The 15,429-nt window shown below is 40.5% G+C and overlaps 1 protein-coding gene across 24 annotated transcripts in view, besides 1 other annotated feature; it reads right to left on the bottom strand.

Moving 5' to 3' along the window:
• Positions 1–15,429, bottom strand: part of FTO (FTO alpha-ketoglutarate dependent dioxygenase) — a 417,979-nt gene that overhangs the window by 195,330 nt on the left and 207,220 nt on the right. The gene's annotated exons all lie outside the window — the stretch shown is intronic.
• Positions 10,678–12,323: an enhancer, noted in NCBI's record as "VISTA enhancer hs155". NCBI's record gives its function as "enhancer in: hindbrain (rhombencephalon)[3/5]" and the evidence as "EXISTENCE:transgenic organism evidence [ECO:0001131][PMID:17130149]".

Below are 15,429 nucleotides of genomic sequence, written 5' to 3'. Positions count from 1 at the left end.
TTCCACCAAATTAGATGGAGCTGATCATTCTCTTTATGCACCACCATGTCGTACTCCATTGCACTTACATATTCATTTAAATTTTTCTCTTCCAGAGTGTGGGCTCCATTAGACCAGAAGGGTCCATGACCATTTCTTAATAATCTCCAAGGTGCCTAATATGGCAACATGCCACGGAAGTGGACTCCTGATGGATACTTTGGAATAAATGAAGCCAAATGACATGCTGAAACATGTCTGGGGAGTGAAGCTAATGATCAGGCCAGAGAGCACTATTCAAGGTCAAAAACAGTATGTGAAACCATCTGTGATTTGATTCAAACTATTCCTGAAGATGAGTCTAAGAACGGGGTCGGAAAAACTATTTTTAAGTAACAGAATCAAGAAAAATGAGTATATGCCCTTGGTAGGTGACTACTTAAAAGGACAATACTCATTTGGATGGACGTGCCTAAAAATATACCCTCCTAATATGAGGTTATGTATAGGAGGAAGAAGTCCCACTTTCTCCATTTCAGTAGAGAAAACTAGTTTGGATTCTGGCAACACACAGCATATTAAGGACCCCTAAGAATTTCCCAGAGTCTTTCATTTCTCCTGGCTCAAAACTTCATGTATAAAACCAAAGCAAAAAATCCACAGCCAGAGAGAGACAGAGAGAGAGACTGAATGCAAATTAGAAAAGAAAAGCCAAGAACTCTAAGGAGCCTTGAATTTTATGCTTAAGTTTCCTGTCTTTCTTGGAAAAAGTCTCCCAATTCTGAACGGATTCAATTAAAACTCAGCAATTCACCTAATTCTTGTGGGGCATATTGCTACAGTCAGTAACTTTCAGTATGTCCTAATTCCACTGTATCATAGCAGAATTTGTTGCATGTAGGGTTTTCAGAGAGGAACCACTCTGAAATTTAAAAGGAGACTTACACCATTTACTCTTTACTAATAATTCTATACAAGTCTTTAATCCTTTTGGTTCCTCTCTGATATGATGCAACGGCTTCTGATAGGCCTGTAACCCCAAAACTCAGACTTAATCTCTCCGTCTTACAAATCAAAGAATGTTGTCTAAGGAAATGCATGGAAACAGGATGGCATTCTACAAATATGGCTGGTAATCCCTCTTCAGAGTTCATTAAAAAAAAAATCTACTACTGTTCTTGCAATTTCAAAAGGCATTTAAACACCAGGATCCCAGAACTGCGTACCTTTCTGACCTCCCCATCTACCCATCCTCACTACCACCACAGAAGTAATACTGTCATTACGGGAAAAATGTCACCCCCAACACTTTTTATATACATAGCTGTCTCATGTTAGGGCTGTATTTCCCCTCTGCACACACAAATTACAAAGATATGCTCTGACTGATAATGAGGGCTAAAGGTTCAACTTGTGAAGAAACTTGGTTTAAGATGTTATCAGCTGGGAAAGCTATTTCCTCACATCAACATTGCCACAGGCTGTCAAAAGCCCCAACCAGGGCTCCCCTCTTCAAAAGTCCAGGAACACTTTTTTTCTCTCCTTCCTTTTTTTTTTTTTTTTACAAAAAAAAGAAAGAAAGAAAAAAAAGAAGAAAGGCACAGAACCCACTGAGATAGCCTTAGTCCCATCAAAGAAAGGTCGATCTCAGGTCTTCCTTCATTTAGTGATTGTCAGTTTAAGATGGCTCTTTTGTGAGGCCTCTTTGGCTCAATGCTGAGTGATGCCTTCACATTTTCTAAACTGGACTGGGCACCACCAAAGATTTCCAGCATGCTTGGATCCACAGCGTGGCAGAACAAATAAACATTCCTCCCAGCCCTTCTGCCTACCTTATCTCCCGGAGGAGGTTTTGGGGGTGCCAATGTTTACACAATGTTAAAACTTTCTTTCCCCTGTTTCCTGAATTTGAGAAAACGCATCCTGGATGACCTCGGCTAAGAGATAACACCAAGTCACCACTGGGTGCCACGTCTACTGGACTACTTAAGGCTGCTGTCTTCATCCTTCCTTCCCCTCCCCCGCCCTTCATAGTCTACTCACCCAGGAAAGCAGGAGATAAACTCCACTGTCTTGAAAGGAAGGCACAAAGGCAGAAGTCTTCAAGAGGCTGCCAACAAAGCAGGCTTTCATTCCCACCTTAAAGACACACTTGGTTCAGTTCATCTCAAAGACCCACTTTATTTGACTGAACATCTCCGCAGAGTTCACCACATGACTCCTCAAAAATGTGCCAGTAAGACATATTTTAGTGTTTTTCCATCATGTACTATTGAGCTAAGGGGGCTAGCTGAGAGTAATCAAGAATGTCTATGAGGAAAGAATTCAGGGAAAATGTTTCTTTGATCAGTTTCCTCATCCATAAAGGGGTATAAGTAATAGCACCGAACTCGTGAAGCTCTTGTGAAGAGTAAATGAAATAATCCATGTAAAGTGCTTAGCACAGTGCTCAGCATACACAAAATGCTTGATAAATGTTAGAAATTGGTATTAGGACTATTGGCAGCAGCATTATGTGTATGAAGTCTTGGGGGAAATATCACAGAAGAAAAGATATGGATATTGATTTACAAAACCCAAAATCCTAAAATATCACAGCCATGACTATGAATGACTACTTATTTTTGTTTTTTCCCCAAAGCACTTACACCATATCTCCCATCTCTCTCCTTCTACGAGTAGAGAAATCACTCTGCCTCCTCTGTTTGACAAAAAGCCATGGAGCCACAGCAGCCTGCCTGCCACTGCAGAAACTCTCGGGGACAGTCATGTGGGCGACCGCTGGAATGTTCAGGCTGCTGTGGGAAAAGATGGCCTGCCCCATACGTTTAAGCTCGGATGCTGGGGCAATGTACGAAAGCTAGACCTCAGAGCTCCAGTTGGCAACGCTGGTGTTTCAGATGATGGTGAAAAACAGCCCCATGTACTTGTCAAGGAAAGAAAAAAAAAAATAGAAAGAAAGAAAAAGTGGGGGAGAAAGGTAAAGAGGAAAAAAAAGTGTTGTTTATAGAAGCCAGCTGCTTGGGCCTTGGCGCCAGCAGCCCCTCATCCTGCTATTTTACGCCTGCAACCCCACTGCCCCTACTGGCACAGGTACAACTAAATGTTGACTTCAATGCTTCAGAGAGCACTCGACTGATTTTGTACATGATTAATTGCCAAAGACATGGCTGGCCATATGGAACAGAGAAAGCATCAAGTAATTCATACTTCTGTATGTGATCGTTTGGCCCCTGTTGTTTTAATGTACAGGAAAGAGCTAGTATAGCACAGCCCTGGTGTCTTGCCCCTGACAGCCCATTAAGAAATCTCAAAGCACCTAGTCGAAGTTATGCTGTTGGCTTTTCAATAGCAGCCTAATAAAACAGAAGCAGAGCTTTCCAACCAGTCTTAAATCTTTCACATACAGTACATTAACTACTACGGCTGAAACAACAGGCTTCTTATGATAGGAAATGGGATTTGATTTCTAGTCTCTGCATACTTACTGAAAGCCTTTTTTTGGCCTTTATGGAGTTTACAAAATCATTGTTCTTCTTTCTCCCTCTGTTTTCCAAGCAGCCTAATAGATTGGTTTGCTTCAGTAGAGTCTACTCTTCGTCACTATTACGTGCATTCTATGTAACAAAGCTGATTCACAGACGGGAGCAGGAAACAGCATAATTAGTCTTACCAAGAGAGTCCAGGAATCACTCTAGCTTCTGAAGCATTAGCCTCTTTTACAACCAAGAAAACAAAACCTATCTGCTGGAAGGAAGAGCCTCAGAAACACACTCTTATTACCCTCACTTCCTCCCCAACTCTGTGAAATGAATCCATTCGATGTTGGAAAGAATATCAACTTATTTCCCAGTTGTTCTACTGTTGGTTCTGGGTGACATTCCACTCCAGGCACAAGAGAAAGGTGCCACCTTAGGTGCAATTCATCCCAACTTGCAGTCTATTAGCTTCACCCACTACTAAGATCTTTGCAGGCTGTTACTTTCAGTCTGAGGGGAATATGTATGCGTTACCACAGTGTTTTCCTTTCAAGGATTTTTCAGATGACAGTACTAAAAGTTATAACACCATCAGTAGTTTCCTTTGTCGGTTCTGACACGTATTGGGAGGATGACTTTGTTGGCATTTTCTGTTAAAAAATACTTATATGACATTTTTTTTTGTCTGTGGATTTTTAGGTGTTGAAATTATCCTCACACCAGAAGACACCATATATGGGAAACTCCACTTGCCTGCGTATTCATTAGCAGGATTATAATTGCTCCACTGCTAAAATGAGCTAACAACCCATTTACAGCTTTAAGCCAATGGGAAATTCTCTGCCTGCCTACTGCCTCTCCTTCCTTGGGATATGCTGCTGCTTTTCAGGATGAGCAACCCAACTAATAAACAATAGCATGAAACAGAAAGCAAGAGCAAAACTCTTGGGGAAAAAAAGGAAATGAGAGCATTAAAACTGACTCAATGATATGGGAATGAAGACACAATCCAAGATCTCTACAAAGACAAGAAAATTGTTGTTGTTGACCATCATCGATAAAACTGTTTTTATTTTACTATGGTACGCTTTATAAAGTATGATGATCATGTAATTCCCATTTTGCAGATTTTCACTTGTCCATTTTGGGAGGGTGAAATGCCCAAGAGTAATCAGTGATGGAAGTACTTAGCATGCTAATTCTTTAAATCTCTAGCTCGCTGTTACCTCAATAGTAGTGTTGGTAGATTATACATAAAAGTATTATACCTAATACTGTTATGCTATATATATATATCACAAAAAGTAATATACATAAATATATCTTTTTAAAGTCTCACTGATGAAAATAAAACCATCAGAGCCACAAAACCTTCAATAAAGAAAATGAAAATGCTCAAACTGCAGCCATGGCACATAGCAATACTACCTGAATCTAGAATTAAACATGGACATACCTGTACATTTCACATAATTAATACTAGAATGACAGCTGACTTCTCTCCAAATACTTCCACGGTGCCTTGCCTTATCTTTATCTTTTTATCAAAAACTATTAACTTTATAAATAAAAGCAAGAACTCTCCCAACCCCACCACAACACACACATGCCCCTAATTCCCAGACGCTACTTCTAAGAATTCCACTGCACTAATCTGTTCGTTGTCCTAACTGTTAATTGAAGGTGAAGAACGGCTAACTATACCAAGTACGAAATAATTGAGCCACTGATGATGTTTGGCCTAAAAGTGGCTTAGCACTTTCCGATCCTTGGACAAGTGAAAAGTTACCCAAGATCTCCATCAGATCAATTCTCTCCTTCCCCTAAACATCAGCAGCACAAAGGCTGAAGTGGTCTGTCGGGCACACTGGATTATATGAAGTGTAAAACACTGGGGGAGAGGGGAAGGGAGGGATGGCCTTTGAAAGGGGACGGGAAAAAGAAATCACACTTGCAAGAGGATCCAGCTGACAGCTCAGTCCCTAACAAGTGAGACAAGTGAATATGTTTGGAAACATTGTGAATGCAGGAAGGGCACAGGCCTTTTGTCTGCGGCCCTACAGTGTGTCTTTAACCCAACTGCTGCCTGCATCACTGAACATATGTTTTCTACACAAGAATTGAAGCAGAAAAGGCTCTTTGTTATAATTCACTCCTTTGTATATATCTACCCCCACCCACCTACCCACCCAACTCCTCTTTCAGCAATACCCAAACCAAAGCCCTAGTGGAAATTTTATCTGCTCAGGAGAGTGAAGCCAGAAGGTCCTACTGAGACCTTACTACTGCCCCCAGGCCTAGAGAACTGGTCCCCCCAGAGTGGCAATAAGAACAACAGCTATGTTTATTTAGTGCTTACGACCTGCCATGCCAACAACCATTCCATCAACATTATCTCACTTCATCCAGCAATCACCATATATCAAGCATCTCCATTTTAAAGATGAAAAAACTGAGGCACAAAGACAGTATATCCCTCATGCCAACCCCTGCCACTGCAAAGTCACAAGGGACGCGTTCCATACTAGACACATGGAGTTGGAGATGCTTTGGAACATTAAGCAGACAGCATTTTGGAACATGAGAGAAATGTATAGCTAAAAATGAAAGATTTGGGAAAATTATATATACACACACACAAATTCTACACTTTATATGTGCCCTATGTAGGCTGCGATCTGGACAGTACAAAAACTCAAATTAGAGCAAAGCTGATGCATAAACTTCTCTGCTTTTGGCTGCAATGAAGAAAAAATTATTTTTGGTGATTCAGGAGGTCTCCCTTGTACTTGAGGACTTTAGCACAGGAAGGAAGAACCAAGGCCCTGAAGGCCAACTTAGCGACCAAGCTGGCCACAGGCAAGTTACTTATCCTCTCTGGACCTCAGTTTCCTCATGTGTAAAATGAGGATATTTATAGCAGCTACTTCAGAGAGCTCACAGGATTTAGTTTTTACACATAAGGCCCTTACCATAGTACCTGACACATGGCAGCCAGTCTGTAAGTGTTAGCTCCTTTTTCTCCCTAGAATTTTGCTACTGAGATTTAGGATAAATCTAAAGTACCAGCCAGTCAGAGTCACATTAAATCTACTAAAATGAGTCATAAAAATGAAGCCTTTCTTTATTCCTCTCTTTCCCCCATTTAGTCTTTTTAAAATTATTATTATTTCAGTAGGTTTTGGGAAACAGGTGGTGTTTGGTTACATGAATAAATTCTTTAGTGGTGATTCCTGAGATTTTGGTGCACTCATCACCTGAGCAGTGTACACTGTACCCAATGTGTAGTCTTTTATCCCTCACCTCCTTCCCACCCTTTTCCCCAAGTCCCCAAAGTCCATTGTATCATTCTTATGCCTTTGCCTCCTCACAGCTTAGCTCCCACTTACGAGTGAGAACATGCGATGGTTGGTTTTCCATTCCTGAGTTACTTCAGTTAGAACAATGGTCTCCAATTCCATCCAGGTTGCTGTGAATGCCATTATTTTGTTTCTTTTTATGGCTGAATAGTATTCCATTTGGTATACATATATACATATACCACAATTTCTTTATCCGCTTGTTGGCTGATGGGCATTTGGACTGGTTCCGTATTGCTGCAATTGTAAATTGTGCTGCTATAAACATGCATGTGAAAGTATCTTTTTTTGTATAATGAATTCTTTTCCTTTGGGTAGACACCCAGTAGTGGGACTGCTGGATCAAATGGTAGTTCTACCTTTAGTTCTTTAAGGCATCTCCACACTGTTTTCCAACCCCTATTCAGTCTTACCCCAGGGTCTCATGGGGTAGCAGAGTGCACTGATATCAGGTAAGCTGATATCTCTTAACCTCGACACTTTCTGACTCATGATAATGATGATAATGATACAGCAGCCAACATTATTGGGTGCTTTCTATATGCCAGGTGCTGCTCACATATACTATGTTACTGAATCCTAAAAATAAGTCTATAAGATAAAGGTATTATCATTTCCATTTTGCAAATGAAAAAACTGAGACTCAGAAAGGTTAAGTAATTTGTCAAATTTTATATCATTAGTAAGCAACAGAGCCAAATCTAACCCAGACATCAGGCGCCTGTGCCCAAAACTAACATATACGTAAACTGACAAAGTTCGGAAAGTGCTTTCATTAACTTCATCTCATTTGATCCTCATACTAACTATGTGTGTTGGGTAGAGCAAGTATTAATCACATTTTTATAGACAAGGAAACTGAGGCTTAGCTAAATTAAGTAACTCTTTAATATCAAAGTTTGTAAAGAAGTTGAGCTCAGACTAGAAACCAGGTGTTCTAACTCCAGGCCCAGCACGGTTTATACAGAACATATGGAATGGAACATACTGAAGGTAAACTGCCATGTGATAAACCAATCAATGACATTTGAGTCTCTGCTATACAGAAGACATCCAGAAGGTCACAATACCTGGCCACTAGGAGCTTACAATCTATGCTGGGAAATACAACATATACACAGGGTGGAGGATGACCAAGGGGGACATAAAATAACTGTTAAATTTGATTAAGCTTTTAGGGTTGATTTTGATTTATAAAATAGTTACTCTGCTCTACTAGAATGTCCTGTTCCTTGCCTATCATAATCTTCATGTTATCATTTAATACTGATTCGCTAAATAGAGTTGTGTGTCATATAATGATGTTCCAGTCAATGACAGATCACATATATGACAGTGGTCTCATAAGATTATCATGCCATATTTTTACTCTGCCTTTTCTATGTTTCGATATCTCTAGATACACAAATACTTATCATTGTGTCACAGTTGCCTACAGTGTGCAGTACAGTAACATGCTGTACAGGTTTATAGCCTGGGGGCAACAGACTACACCATATAGCCTAGGTGTGTAGTAGGCTCTACCTTCTAGGTTTGTGTAAGTACACTCTATGATGTTCACACAACAACAACATCACCTAATGAGACATTTCCCGGAAAATATCCCCATCATTAAGCAACACATGACTGTGCTATTATCTTTTCATTTTGAGACAATGGAACTAAAATGTAGACCTGTAGGAACAAAGATATAACTAACAAATATCACCACAAACCCGGCCCACTCTTAATAAACTTATTTTTCTATTATTATTAAGATAAGAATAATCTTATTTTTCTTAAGATTCCTGAGGTCAAAGCTATGTCTCACTAAGCTCATGCTACTGACATTGTAACGATTAAAACTTAAATAAAATAACAATCTGGTAGAAAAGGATAATTCAGTGAAAATCACACGGGCAGAGTTGCTGTACTTGTCCTTAGATAATATCTACCTAAGACAAATGCAGTCCCTGCCTAAACGCCACTGTCTACAGAGTCTTCAATGTCAGAACTACCTGCTACTCGGCACATATTTACCCAGAGGAGATGGACGACGGATGGACAGATGGACACACACACACACACACACACACACACACACACTCACTCAATTTTGTGGTATGGCTCTCAAATAGGAATTCAGGACCTATTAACTGGAAATATCAGTGCATTTATTAACATATTAATAGTAGCCATGAAAAAAAAACCCATCACAATGACTACCTAAAACACATAATCAGAAATGTGTCAACAACAATAACAAAAACATAACAATAACTATTACTTATTTTACACTTACCGTGTGCCAAGCCCTGTCCTAATCACTTTTCATGTAACCCCAATTTAAATCCTTATAACAATTCAGTGAAATCGGTTTTATTATTATCCCAGCTTACAGAAAAGAAAATCAAAGCACAAAGATATTAAGTAACTTGCCTCAGATCACAGAGCTGATAAGTAGTGGGGACAAGAGTTAAACCCAGTGGGTAGTAGAGTTCACTCTCTTACCTCCTAAACTATGAAATGACAAACTATAAGGAACTTTCTGTGAGGCAGGAATGCAGCATCTCATGTATTCCCTTTAACAAACTGACACGGCAGGTTGGTATCTTCAGCAAACTCATTTTCCAAGTGAAGGAATCCAGGCTTGGAGTGTTCAATGAGTGGCCCAGATTCTCATGGGGTAGCAGAGTAAGGATGGCTGGCAGAATTGGGGTTAATGATGCTACGCCCTTGACCATGGTTTCACTGACAGACTAGGGTTCACAGACAGTCTCCACTGGTGGAAGAAGTGGTGACTGGACTTCTGGTGACTGAGACTCCAATCAGGGACTCTCCCCGACTACAGTCTCACTTGGACACACAGACAGACACCTGAGGTCACAGTAAACAGCATCATTTTTTAAACTCAGAAAGACAACCACCAAATAGTTGATGAGCCTTAGCTCCCCTCCAGATATCCCAGAGATTCTCCCTAGCTATAGTGTCCCAGGTCAAGGGTGAAAATAATGATTTAAGGCTATTTTCACATTTATGAATACTACATATGAAAGGAATGCGTCAGATGAAATGTTAACTTCTGAGTGCTAGTATTATCCAGAAGATCACACAAGTCCTTAAGTTTGCAGATACTGCTCTGTGTATATGTTTAGTGCTCTGTGTATACATTTAGTGCCACTAAAAGAGGCCATCATTCCATCTAAAGTGTGGCATAGGCAGCAGAATCGTAGCTTCTCTCTGGTTAGGAAAGAATACCCAATGTTCAATGTTCACATGAGCAAAACGTGATTTACGGACCATCTATAAGCTCATTAGAATTTGTGTCTTACGTTTATAGGAACAAGATTTCCAACTCTATACTTCTTACAAATTTATTTTTTTAATTCTCATTATACTGCATTCATTTTCTTATATCATTCCAACGGTGATTTAGAATAAAAGAAACGATTGTGGATGGCTCAATGAGAACACAGAGAGACCCAAGCATATGAACCGGATAGTGGTACCCTTCATCATAAGCAGTAATAGGCATCAGTCTGCTAGCCCGCCTTTGCCCCTTAACTCATCTTTTAATGCCTCCCACTTAGGTAGGGCACTCTGAGGTCCAGAGTTATAAACTACATTTCATTCAGTTTTAGGGAATGAAAACAATATTCCAACTTCAATTATGAATCCATTTTAAAAGCTATATCCCCACTGAAGCACCTTGATATAAATAGATGCAGACTGTGCAGAGTTTAGCCTTAGCTTTAGAAAGCCAGTGTGGTTGCCACAAAGTTGCTTTGAGCTGCCCCAAGGACAACAAAAGTCATGTTTCTGTCTTGATTAATACAGTCTAAAACCTGCAAACTACTGCTGCGGTTGGCATGAATTCCTACTTAACTCTGACTTGCCACATCCAGAATAGTTTTATGCTTTGATAAGCAGATATTATTGGCTCATCTCAGACAGACAATTGCCTCTCCTGCCTTGTTGAGTGGTTACACATTCCATACCCAAAGATTAAACTGTTGTCGAAAACCAGTGATGGGCACAGCCCTTTCACGCTGAAATTGTCTCCATGAGACTGAGCAGGAACATGTTAACTTTGGGGTTCAGACAATGGGTATTCTGAAAGGATTAGAAAAATGGGCAACAACTGAACCTCCTCCTCCCTCCTGTGTTCGAGTCTACCACCTGCTGTGGTATTTTTGTTTCAGTAACAAAGATGCCTTCATGTTGGAGGCTCACATTTAGTGTTTGCTGAACTGGCCCCTTTAGTTTTGGTTAACTCTTAAGGAGCAGAAAAAGAAACATTTCTTGCCTGACAAATAAATAAAACATCCTCCTTTCCCGATTGTTGCCCACCAAACAATACATGTGCACCTATGGACATATGTGCATTTGTCTTCATATACTGAGACCTTTATACACCATACAGAAGCTGGGAGGATACTCTATTTATATTTAATAAAGTATTATTGGTCAATAAGAGCTGCATAGCATTTGTGATTTCATGGTTCACTATAGTAACAGGTGCTGTGATAAACAGGAATGTAAAGTGTTAAAAAGAAAGAAGGGATCACTTCAGAGACATTAAGCAGCTTTAAACACTGACAGCAGAAAGGGAAAATTTTTAAGCAATTTGGTTGGGTCAGTAAAAAGTAACACAGGTCAAAGGAACAAAATGGTCCCCCAAAATTCTGCCCATTGATAAGTAAGCATACCGTCTTATGGTTGGGTGCACAAGGCAAAAGCTAAACAACTGTTGTATGGAAACAAAAATATGCTCTCTTTGTGGCTCTTTTACAATAAGTTGCTTCAGCTTGGTGAACGCTTGGGGCCCCCATTCTCCCTGTAGACATGGCTGGGGTATACATTAATGAAAACAAAAGGGTCCATTTTCATTGTAACCATGCAGAAGGGTTAAGCATTTGACCTTCAAGTATGGTGCGCTTGTGCTCAGTGGAAAGGTTCTTGACAATATAAACAAGAATTACTGCTGTTAGAGAAAGGAAACACAATTAAAAACAATCTCAGATGCTTGTTGTACAGCTGTTCAAGTTTCAGCTCTGTCTGACCTCTAAGGATGCTACATGTTTAACGGAGACAATTTAAGATATTTTAGTGAGTCCCTTAAGCATTCGCCATGGCCGTCCTTCCACACGGGAATACCTATCCTTAAACACAAAGCGCTTTTCCAGTAATGAGATTTTACGCTGTGGGGTTTACCCTTAAAGCCATTTTGCCTTCCCAATCTGTCCTCCTCTTGCTATCTGACCACCCTGAGAAGTTGCCACAGACCAGATCTTATAGGGACTTGACAGGAGGCAGGAATGTTTGACTTTAGAGAGTACAATTCTTTAAAAATAGTTTGTATTTTTAAAGCAAAATCTTGTAACTTACTTTCCAAAAAAAGACGTTACTGAAGAAAAGTTTCTATTCTGTTAAACAATTATTTATCTGCAAAAAAAAAATTATTTCAACAAAAATGCAGTCATTTATTTCCAATGTGTGAAAGAGAAAGCACTGAGAACTCCGAAACAGAATTTGAAACAGGACAAAAAAAAAAAGAAAAAAGAAAGAAAGAAGAAGTATTTCTTCTAAGACATCACAGGAGATGGTTTTAAAAGAAACAGAAATGCTAAAGTCCAAGCTGAGGCAAACCACTGTCTTCCTGTCTTTTGATCTTCTTCGAGTCAGCAAAAGGCTCTGAAACTCTTCCACAAATAAGAGAGTCCCTGGGAAGTGATCGTGAGAAGACGCTGTCCTCCACTGGGGCAGGACAATGCGAGAAGGCCGAGGGACTGTGGCCAGGGCCTATGACCAGCTTTTTTTTTTTTTTTTCTTTTTTTGAGACAGAGCCTCACTCTGCCGCCCAAGCCGGAGTGCAGTGGTGTGGTCTCGGCTCACAGCAGCCTCCGCCCCCAGGGTTCCAGCAATTCTCCTGCCTCAGCCTCCTGGGTAGCTGGGATTACAGGCATGCGCCACCACACCCAGCTAATTTTTGTATTTTTAGTAGAGATAGGGTTTCACCATGTTGGCCAAGCTGGTCTTGAACTCCTGACCTCAGGTGATCCACCCACCTCAGACTCCCAAAGTGCTAGGATTACAGGCATGAGCCACTGCGCCAGGTCTACGAGTGGCTTTAAATGAACAAACCATGGCCGCCTACCCCAGACTTGAGGTGATACTTCCTACTTCTCAGGAAGAAAGGAAGTCATAGCGAGGTGAAACAAAGGCAAGAGACAGGCCAAATCTCATAAAGAGCAAGGCACAGGGAAAGTTTTGCTTGTCAAATACACTTTAATCTCTAAAGTCACTGGGCTTTGATGTTGCCCCCAACAGAAAACCTACATGGTTTGCAAGATTTACAGCATTTCTAGTGGGAACAGTTTCATGCTCCAGGGTTTTTCCTTCAGAGATTAAGGTTTATTTTATCCCTGATGTTCAATGTGTCTGACTGTAAGAGCCTCATCAGAGACAAGGACATTCTCCTGCCCTCTGACTCATCAAATACACCAAACTTTTATTCATCAAATCAAATTCGCTTTTCAGGGAACAAAGCTGCTGGAGATGATCCAAACTGTGGGGTAATCACCGTCATTCTGACAAGACAGAAGTGTTTCTTTTGCATAGAGTCAGCTCCTAAGGGAGATGATAAAAACTGGCTAAAAATGGCTACACTAATCTCTATATTATAAAAGACCACACAATTCATTGCTTAAGTTGAAATGAGGCAAAGCAAAATAGAAGGGGGAAGAAAGAAACAAATTACCACCACTGCCCATACATCAAAGAAAATCTACCACAAAACCCCCAGCTCTCAGATAATTATAAGTCACACAGAACAGAAGCAGTTTACAAAGGCCACTTGAGGCACAGTTCACTGGAAGGAACTCTTCGTATTTCCACTAACACTTCTTTCTTGAACAAGCTGCATCTTCTTCTGACCTCAAGGTGAGGCCTGACTTGTAAGGATAATATATACTAGGCTAAGAAGCTGGTAGTAAATTTCAACTGGATGGCGTATCAGACTTAATTAATCCCAGCACTACCCAGGAAAATGGTAGGTGGAATCGCAGAACAAATGTGCCTGGATGTTGAGAGATCTACTTCTCATCTAAGCATCATGGCCAGCAGAAATGAACCGGTGAACAAGTCATGTCCTGGTTCTCAAAATCCCCATTAAGAAGAGGCTCCAACCTCAACATTCCCCATGCAATCTGTTGATGATGATTCTACGGCGAGTGGGAACCATTTGCTTTTATCAAAACAAAAGGCAAAACAAGAAAGAATTTCCCCACACTCCTCTCTAAATACACAAGCTTAATAGAAAAGAAGTCTATTCACTTCTAGGAATGGAAAACATAAACAAACCCCTTTGGTGTAGTATTCATAATGATGCTAATGGAAGACACTCCTTTTTCACTGACGCATGTCAGTGCATCTCTGAAGTTAACACATAAAACCACAAAACACGCCAGGGAGGGGAAGAGGCTCATCTGATACCAGCAAGTGATTAGCAGAGGCTAAAGTGTTACCCAGGTATCTGGACTTCTGACTCACAACCCTCCTAGAGATTACTCCTGGAGGTTGCCTTAGGACACAGGTAACTGTAAGTGAGGTTTTACTCTAAATTGAACAATTTGATCCTTCTCCTAGTACCCCCAGCTATACTGTAATAATGCCCAACCATTTTCCTCTGTTTTTCCACAACAGACACACACTTGTGAAATAAGGAAGGTATGTTTGTCCCTTTGGGGGACAGTTTCTTCCATGCAATTTGCAACAAAATGCACCTTGGATTTTAAAAGAGCTATCCTGTAGTTACGATATTGATTTTTCATTTTGCTCCACAAATACTACCACAACTTTATAACTGATATACAGCATTAACAGTTTCCTTGGCCTTAGAGACCAAATTAATCACAAAATCAACAATCTGTTTTTATGCCACAGAGTTCAATTTTCGTTTTCAACATAAATTGCAAAACCACGGCCAGAGCCCAGTGCAATTTTAGAGATGCATTGCTAAATTGCCTCCCATTTGTGATTTAATACAACAAAGGTTTTGCAAATTAAAATGTTTAAGGCTTTAGGTTAGCCTGTATTTAGTCAGCTACCAGGCAACTGAATGTTTACAGGCTGATTTCTGGAGAACAGAGTAAAGCTAGCTGGGATACCACATGTCTGGCTACAGTGCACTTCCTCTCAGGAACCTCCAGGTTGACCTGTAAACATCAGTGCCACACAGAATGGTTTCTGAGAAATGTCTCCTCAGATCAGATGACACAAATGCATCTATAGATTCACCTATCTTCCCCCACCTTGTCCTCCTGTCCTTACCATTCTACTGAAATTCTTCCCATGATGAATGCAACGGTATGGCCACTTCTTAACTTCCCTGCAGGGTTCGACACTATTACATTCGCTGACTTTCCTCCACTCCATTCTACCACCTACTCCTGGTCCTCTTCTCACCTCTCTCGCTGCTATCTCTGGCTGTTCCACTGACTGTTCTGCGCCTGTCCTTCAGACTAGGTCACCCTACTTTGTTCTCCTTTACTCTTGAAACTACATTCTCTCTTACTCACTCCAATCGCTCAGCCACTGTCTCTGTGGAGATGCCTGCCATGTGCTAAGTGCTT

Source organism: Homo sapiens, chromosome 16 (assembly GCF_000001405.40).
Source record: "Homo sapiens chromosome 16, GRCh38.p14 Primary Assembly".
Classification (NCBI taxonomy): domain Eukaryota; kingdom Metazoa; phylum Chordata; class Mammalia; order Primates; family Hominidae; genus Homo; species Homo sapiens.
This window is presented reverse-complemented; position numbering and strand designations above follow the sequence as displayed.